The 8,596-nt window shown below is 50.3% G+C and overlaps 2 annotated features.

Annotated features, from left to right (window-relative positions):
• Positions 337-850: an enhancer, noted in NCBI's record as "H3K4me1 hESC enhancer chr6:39264681-39265194 (GRCh37/hg19 assembly coordinates)". NCBI's record gives its function as "activates a minimal SCP1, AML or CMV promoter by ChIP-STARR-seq in naive H9 embryonic stem cells {active_cell/tissue: H9 hESC(naive)}" and the evidence as "EXISTENCE:reporter gene assay evidence [ECO:0000049][PMID:30033119]".
• Positions 5,788-6,289: an enhancer, noted in NCBI's record as "NANOG hESC enhancer chr6:39259242-39259743 (GRCh37/hg19 assembly coordinates)". NCBI's record gives its function as "activates a minimal SCP1, AML or CMV promoter by ChIP-STARR-seq in primed H9 embryonic stem cells {active_cell/tissue: H9 hESC(primed)}" and the evidence as "EXISTENCE:reporter gene assay evidence [ECO:0000049][PMID:30033119]".

Here is an 8,596-nt window from a genome sequence, read left to right as displayed (position 1 = left end):
GCTGCTGGAGTGCCCAGAGGAAGGCTCATTCTTGGCCAGTTCTTTATCTCCTTCTCAGCCAATGAAAAGAATAGCTGAAACTCTGAAGTCTACACTCAGGAGGTGGGAGGGGGAGTGGGGAGGGGACAAAAGTGAATAGGGTAGGGACAGGGGTGTTAAGAAGCCATGTTGGGAGCCACCTGGAGAGGTCTGGATGTGGGAAATACAAAAACAGAGTATTAGACCTCAGTTCAGAAACCACAGAACAGAATGGACAGTGAGGCCACAGAACAGAATGGACAGTGAGGCCACAAGCACGAGGGAGGGAAGGTAGGAGTGATGACAACATGATGGAGACAGCCCAAGAAAGCTGGTGCGCTTTCTGCAGTAAGGAACTCATTGCTATTTTCCACCTCAGCCAGGCCACCCAAAGCCTGGAGGAGGAGAGAAAGGGGTGCCCTCAGAGCGTGACCCTTAAGGGTGCTGAGTTTGGAGCCAGCCTGCCTGTGTTGAAATCCTGGTTCCACAGCTTGCCAGCTCTGTGACCCTGGGCAAATCTTGCATCTGCAATTTATTTCCTCTGCAAAATGGAGACAAGAGCAGCTTCGATCTGCAGGAACGAAATGAGTGACTGTGCGCACAAAGGACTGAGAAGTGTATATGTCAGCCTTGAGGAGGTGCCACATGCGTGTCAGCTGTCATCATCGTTCCCAGCCAGGCTGAGTGAACAAGAACAGGAGGAAAGCAGACGCTCTGGGGGCCGGCGGCTATGAGGCAGGCAGCGCCTTGGCTGACCCCCTCTCAGGGCTGGCCAGGCGGGAGGGCTGAGCAAGCGGTGACGCAGGATGGGGCCCTGCCCTTGGGGGGCTCCCAGGCTGATACTATTGCTCTGCTGGCCAGGATAAGGCAAGTGGACATGCATGACCCACAGGGAGCCTCGAGGCAGAGACTGGGAAGTGAGTGCCCAGTGTGCAAATGCAGGGCCCAGGGACTGCCCACCGCGGGTCCCACCATGCCAGGAGCAGGCAGACCTCTGGCCCCGGGCCACCTCTCCCCACCCTCTCTGACCGGTGAGGCAAGATCAGACTCAACATCGCTGGGTTATCCCCTTTAAAACAGCAGCATATTTTATCCTTATCATCATTATTTATTATTGTTATTATTATTTATTGTTAGCATTTATTAAATGCTTATTATGTGCTAGGCACTGTTCTAAGCTCTTTACTTGTAGTAAGTTATTTACTCCTCCCATCGACTCCATAAGAAAAGAACTATTATTTGTAATGCTGTTTTATCTCGGGGAAACAAGGTCCTCAGTGGATGTTAAGGCCAAAGGTAGCCACCTGTTCCTGTGGGTGGTCACAGGAGTTGCCGCTGGCCCTCTGCAAGGGATAAATTCCCCTGGCCTGAGAGGCAGGGACACTCTTCCTTTAAGCCCTGTGTGATCTCAACCAGCCACTCCCCTTTCTGTGCCTCAGTTTCCTCACCTGTAAAAGGGGGCTGGCATCAGGGAGTCTGTATCTTACTACTTCTACTCCCTCCGCCTTGGACTGGATTGTTCTAATAAACATGTTTCAGAAGGGCAGTTTCCAACCCCACCCATGTCAATCCTCCTGGGCCCATGTTAAGCATTTGGATCCAAGGAAGGAAGTCTCTCTTTCTCTTGTCTCTGTATCTGTCTCTCTCCCTCTCAGTTACATACACACACACACTCACAGGATGTGGAGGCAGAGAAGAGAAAATCTGCACAAAATTCCCCAGGCCCTGAGCCCCTCCCTCATGGCCTCGCCGATGCTGAAGCCCTGGCTGGAGGAATGGTATCCATTCACTTGAGGAGCCAGACCAGACAAAGAAGGACTTGACTCCTTGGAAGCCAGAGGACCTTCACATCAGGGACGACAGCTATGCTGAAGACTCCCATCTCCAGTTCCATCGGCCCTTACCTCACCCAGCCACGCCCCTGGGCTCCAGGCCTGGAGTGTGCTGCCCTGAAGTAGGCCCCACTGACCCCCCTTCCTCCACCCTCCCTAAACCACACACAGTGCTGGTCTCCACCCACACTGCCATCCCCAGGCCTCCCATTCCACTGTCTGTCCCCCAACCACCCACACACAGTGCTGGTCCCAGCCTCCAGCCTCACTGATGCTCTCTCCCACTCCCCAGGAGACAGGGCTGGATCCTGCATCTCCCGACCCTCCTTTGCCCCTTGCCAGCCAAAACTCATCCCCAGCTAAAATCATCCCTTGGGGCCAAGGAGACAGTCCCACCCTTCCCCCAAGGCCTTCTCATCCCATCCCTAGGGACTTTCCCCAAGATTTTCAGTCCCTGCCCCACTCCAATCACAAAACCTCTCTCAACCTGTCTGGGGACCCATATCAGCTCATAGCCTGGCGGTAGGAAAAGCAACCAGGGTTGGGTACTTCCCACCCTGTGACCTGCTCCCCACACCCCACCAGCACATCGTCCAGAAGCATGAATGCAAAACCATCCAGACCCCTCCCAAGAGCCACAGACAAAACCCTCTGCCCCCTGCTTCCCCATGGGTTTGGGACCCTGTTCAGCTTTTGCTCACACTCCAACCTTTCCACAACTTTATAGGCCCTCATGTATTATTTCCTGGACTCAGGCAGTTGTATGTCTATATTCTGACTCTATCCCTTGCTGTGTGACATCTGAGAAGTCACATAACCTCTCTGAGCCTCAGTCTCTCCATCCATAAAATGAAAATCCTGAGAACAACCTCGGGATTGTTTTGATAAGTGTGGAGGAAGGGAGGTGGGGGAGTTGGTAACAGATGAGAAAGCATCCATGTCCTACCTTATACTTAATAGGGCTCAAAAATACTTGTGCCCCTCCTTTTTTTCTTCCTCTTGGTCTCAACCTTCTCCTTCTCCACCCTCTTTCATCAGGAAGCTCATGAAGCCCAACTGTACCTTTTCCTCCAAGAAGTCCCCCTGGACTTGCCTGTCTTTTAGCCTCCAATGGGCTTGGGAGGGGCAGAAAATGATGTGGGGATGGAAGGAATATATTTTTCAAAGCTCTGTTTTGGAGAGGGCAGCTCCCAACCAGCCCACTGGCTGAGGCCTCTAAGGGTCAGGCTCTTGGCTTGGGGGCTCGGGGCCAGAGCAGAGGGGTGGGCGTGAGTCCTCAGCACCACTCTCTAGTTGTTACTCTGTCTTGGCTCCCTCTCTCCATCCACTCTCTGACTTTCTCTGAACCCCTGAACTCCATGCGCTGTGTCACCAGGCTCCTTCCGTCTTTGACTTCCAGTTTGATCAGGCCTGAGAGGGGCCATGATGGAAGGTAGGAGGAGAGAGAAGTTAGGGTTGTATCAGCCCTCTCTCTGCAGGCCCTGGCTTTGGGAGTGGCTGCACTCCCAGGGTCGTGGCATCAGCTGGGTGATGTAATAGCATCACCCTTGCCCTTCAGCCCCAGAGTAGTAATGACTCCCCACTGTTGCTGATCCCTGGGAGTCATACCGTGTCATGCACGTGGACCTGCCCACACTCTACACATAGTTTCTTCATTACATGCTCTTCAACGGGCCCTTGGAAAGTGCCATCTGTGCCCAGCAAGGACAGGACTGATCCCAACACCCAGTTCATCAATCTTTTACTGTTTCCCTGCAGCCTGCTGGGGGAGTGGGGCTCAAAGTACTGAATTAAAGTCATGGAAGAATCAATTCAGCCACCCTGACTAGGGAGTGACTTGCTCTGAGTGATGGCAAGAGGGTAGAGACCCAGGCAGGAGGCCAGGAAGACCCCGTCGCCCTTGCCTGTGGGGACAGTGGCAGAAGGGAAGGAACAGAAGCTCCCCCAAGCTGTGTTGTCAGCCCTGCAGAGAAGTCAGGCAGGAAGGGACAGATCATGTTCCCCACAAGGAACTCCTCCATCAGACTGGGGGCTTCACGGCATCAGAAACAATGCCTCCCCCATGTGACTAGGTGCTCCCTAGGTGCAGGGGCTGTGTTTAACTCATCTTTTCCCTGTACCCCCAATGTCTAATTCCTCAGTGCAAAACTTAGAGACACAGAAGTGGATAAAATGTGATCCCTGCCATCTAGTAGGGAAGCAGATTCATGTAAAAGGCCCCACCAAGCAGTGCAGTCCATGTTGTGCTGGTGGGCCCGGGTTCAGTCCCAGGCCCGCCACTCACTCCTGTGTGACTTTGGCAAATCACTTCACCTTGGGTGACCAACTCATTTCATCTTTCCTCTCATCCTCACACTGTCCTGAGAAAGTACCATCTCCAAGGAACCCCCTTATTTCCAGGAAAAGCGGGACACTTGTGCCTCCTACTTAGCCTCCCTATGCCTCAATTTCCTCAAATATGAAGTAGAAATGCTAATAGCGGTATCTGCCTTATATGGAAAGCTGTTGTGTGGATTAAATGTGTTAATGTAAATCGAGAACCTAGTGTCTGGCGCAGTGCAAGTTCTATACGATTTGTCTTCTCCATTTGAATTCCCCACAAGTGGATCCTGGGACAGGATCTGGCTGCAAATAGTTTATTTGGGAAATGATTCCAAGAAGCATGGAATTAAAACAAGAGAAGAAAAGGGAAACAATGCAGACAGCATTAATGAGCAGGTGACCACTGTGGGCAGTTGCGCTCCTTCCCGCTGGAGACCTCTGCAAGCCTGCATAGAGCATGGCTTACAGTTGTCCCCTCTAAGGGGTAGAGAGCCGGGGGCATATATTCCCCAAATCCCATTCCTCATCACTTGGAGTAGGATGGTGTTAACTCCCCAGCATTTGCGGATTGGAAACCTGCAGCGTACATGAGCATGGTGGGTGCAGAGCAGGCAGGGCACTGTCAGCGTCTGCTGCGTATATGTCAACCATTCCTGTAACGTACAAGAGGCATGAGGGCAGACAGGAACACCCACTTGGCTATGGGAGAGGGGAGCCAAGGCAGGACGGGAATACATCTGGGTGAGCTTTGAAGGATGTGTAGGAGTTTTTCATGCAGAGGAGAAGGCAGGCCTTGTAATGGTGGGTGCAGAATAAATGTTTAAATGAATGCCTAGTAAGTTGAGAGTGATTCAAATGCTTGAGCTAGTGGGGCTGACTCAGTGCTGGAGAGCCATAGGTGGTCAGAAGGAGAGGTGATACAGTCAGCCTGGAGGCATCAGGAAATTCTGGATCAAGGTATGAGGACCTGAACTGGTCCCTGATCAGCAGGTAGGGAGGAGGGAGAGTAGGCCAGGTAGAAGAACCTCAAGAGCTAGGCAGAGGAGTTGGAATGAGGCGGGACAGAAGGAGTGCTAAGACAGGGAAGAGAAGGGAAGGAAAGGGAAAGGTAAATGGAAAAGAAAGGAAGAAAGAGAAGGAAACAACTGAACTTGAGGAAGAAGAAGAGACACAGGACTCTATATCACAGGGGTAGAAGGAGAACCATGGAGTCTGGCATCACACAGGTCAAAGGAAGAGAGAGCAATGACATGGTGGCATTGCGTTCTCAAGTCCTGAGTCCTACCCAAAGTGGAGGCCAAAGCCATCTGGAACACTTTCCAGGACAGGTGAGCCCTGAACCACCAGGAGACTACTGTGAGCCCAAGAACATGAGCTTCGTGGGAAGAAGGCTGCAGGGACCCTGGGAGTAAGAGTGAGCTGAGGGCAAGGCACTGTCTGCAAGCCAGAAGGGAGGAGGGTTCCAGAGGTTATTACCGGAGCTGTACAAATATTGTTGTTTTGACTGGTAGTGGAGATTGTTTTATTTTTTTCCCCAGGAACCACAAGTGTGATGTGCGGGCTCATTTTAGAACATGACACCACAGGGAGAGCAACAACCTCTGGCCTCTCCTTCCCCACTTCTCCTGGTGAGATAGATGCTTGCAGGCACGCGCACACACACACACACACACACACACACACACACACGATCCACTAAAAAGTAACCCAAACCACAAATGTTCAATCCACCAATGCCAAGGCTCTGCTGGAAATTCCTAACTTCTTGTGATGGTAAGAATACCACTCCCCGACTTTTTTAAATATGTAAAGCAATGACAACAGTACCTGGAATGTAAAAAAAAGGCCAAAAACAAAAAAAAAACAAAGAAAACAAAAAAAACCCATGAATTCATTAGCTATTATTTAGAGGCTGAAAAGCTCAGCGGCTAAGAGCACAGACAATGGAGCCACATTATGTTCGGCGCTCAGCTGCTCCGCTCACTGCTGTGTGACAGACTGTGGAAAGGTGCTTAACCTGTCGGTGCCTCGGTTTCTCCACCTCTAACATGGGAATAGTAATAGTACCTCCCACACATGGTTGCTAGGATAAGGGGGTTAATGCATGGAAAGAGTTCAGAAAATGGTCTGCCTCAGACATCAATAAACATGAGTCATCATCTCATCACCTCCTGCCCATGGAAGGAAGAAGAAATGACCCCCATCCCACCCAAGCCTATGTCACAAACTCCCACTACCTTGAAACCAACTATGCCTTGGGCAGTAGTGTCCTGAGACTGGGAGAATGGAGGGAGGGAGAAGGAGAGAGAGAGAGAATATGAGTGACACCCAAAATTCATGCATCCAACGGAAATATCAGATGCTCAAAGGGCTTGATTCCAAGACTGTGTGAACCTCCTGTTTTCACCCCAGAACTCCATCTGGGGCCTGGGGCCATGATCTCTCTGCCTACCCCTAGTAGGGAGGAGGGAGGTCTCATCCAATCCAGAGGAGACCCTGCTTGTTTAAGTTAAGCTAAGTTCCAAGGCAGAGCCGGCAGGTGAACTGAGGTCTAGATCTGGTCATGGTTAGATTATTATTCTTTGTTGGGTTTGTCTGGGGAGAGAGGAGGTGAAGTGTGCACCATTTTTAGGTTTGGCTTGGAGCAGTGGCTCTCAAACTGAGTGTGCACCTGTATGACCTGGAGGGCTTATTCAACTGCACATCGCTGGCCCCACCCCAAGCATCTGATTTCTAAGATAATTTGCTTTTCTAACAAGTTTTCATGCTGATCCTGCTGGCCCAGGAAGCATGCTTGGAGAACCACTGGTTTAGGAGATGAACAGACCTAGAGAGACTTTGTCTGAATCCCAGTTCCACTCCTAGGAGCTGTGTGACCTTGGTCAGTCTCTTAAACTCTTGGGCCTCAGTCTCCCTCCTTTTTTTTTTTTTTTTTTTTTTTTTTTTGAGACAGAGTTTCTCTCTGTTGCCCAGGCTAGAGTGCAATGGCGTGATCTCGGCTCACTGCAACCTCCACCTCCTGGGTTCAAGTGATTCTCCTGCCTCAGCCTCCCAAGTAGCTGGGATTGCAGACATGTACCACCACGTCTGGCTAATTTTTGATTTTTAGTAGAGACGGGGTTTCTCCATGTTGGCCAGGCTGGTCTTGAACTCCCAACCTCAGGTGATCTGCCCGCCTCGGCCTCCCAGAGTGCTGGGATTACAGCGTGAGCCACCACACCTGGCCAGTCTTTTAAAAATTTAAAATTTTAAAATTGACATTCTAATACTTGTCCTCAGAGTAGCTGTGCAGATTCAATGAGGACATGGAGGTGAAGTGGCCAGCACAGTGCCCAGCTCCCCATAAGTACCCACAGTGACTATTGCTATTATTCCTTCAGTGGCTGGGACTGGGGTTTTGCTCAGGTATGTGCTCTTCCTAATTAATGATGTTCCCCCCAGTCATCAGCCAGGCACATGGCTTCCCAGAATAAAGATCACATTTCCCAGGCACCCTTGAGGCAGTGTCGCCTTATGATAAGTACAGACTGATGGGTTGTGTATTAGACGGGATATTGGTTTGGCTACTAAAACCAGAGACACCCAAAATAGTAGCAGCCTAAGTAAAGGAGAAATGTATTTGTTTCTAATGTAGCATAAGAGCGTATGGCCCTTGTATCTTGTTGGTCTCTCATTCTCAATATAAGACCTTCATCTCATGTAGGATGGCTGCTGCCACTCCTGCCATCATACCCACATCCCAGACAGGGGGAAGTGGAAAGGAAGATCATACTTCTTCCCTCTTAGGTCACAAGTAGTAGCTGTAAATATCATATCTATTCACACTCTACCGGCTAGAACTTAGTCACATGACCACATCTAGCTGTACAGGAGGCTGTAAAATGCAGTCATCAGTTGAGCCGCTCTATGACCAGTTAATGCTATTATCAAATGCTATGACTATGTAAGGAAGTGAGAATGGGCACAGCATTTACCACAGGATGTAGTCAGCAGTTGTGTGTACAACCACTGGGGATTGTCCTTAAAGGGAGGGGCATCCATCCCATTTCAGCCCTTCTTTCTTCCTGTTGTTGGAATGTAAATGTGATTCTCTGAAGTTCTTTGTCTGCCTAAAGTCTGGACCTCCCAAAGAAGGAAACAATTACCTCCAGTCCCTTCCTGAGTTTTCATTAACTGAACCCATTTCTCAAGAAGGAAGACCAAAGTCTGTCAACAAATCTGGATAGGCTTTTGTCAGAAGCCCTTGTCTGCTCTTCGGGCCCTTGTCCTAGACCCTTGTATGTTCTTCAAGACCATTGAACTCTCCCTAGCAACCACTTATTCCCCCTTACCAGAATTCCTCTTCTCCCCACTACCATAAACATGTTTTGCCAGGATCCAAGCCTCCATTCTCTCTGTAAACTCAAGATGGTACACAAGCTTCT

The sequence above is a fragment of the Homo sapiens genome, chromosome 6 (genome assembly GCF_000001405.40).
Source record: "Homo sapiens chromosome 6, GRCh38.p14 Primary Assembly".
Lineage (NCBI taxonomy): Eukaryota > Metazoa > Chordata > Mammalia > Primates > Hominidae > Homo > Homo sapiens.
The sequence above is the reverse complement of the archived record's forward strand: the minus strand, read 5'-3'. Positions and strand labels throughout refer to the sequence as shown.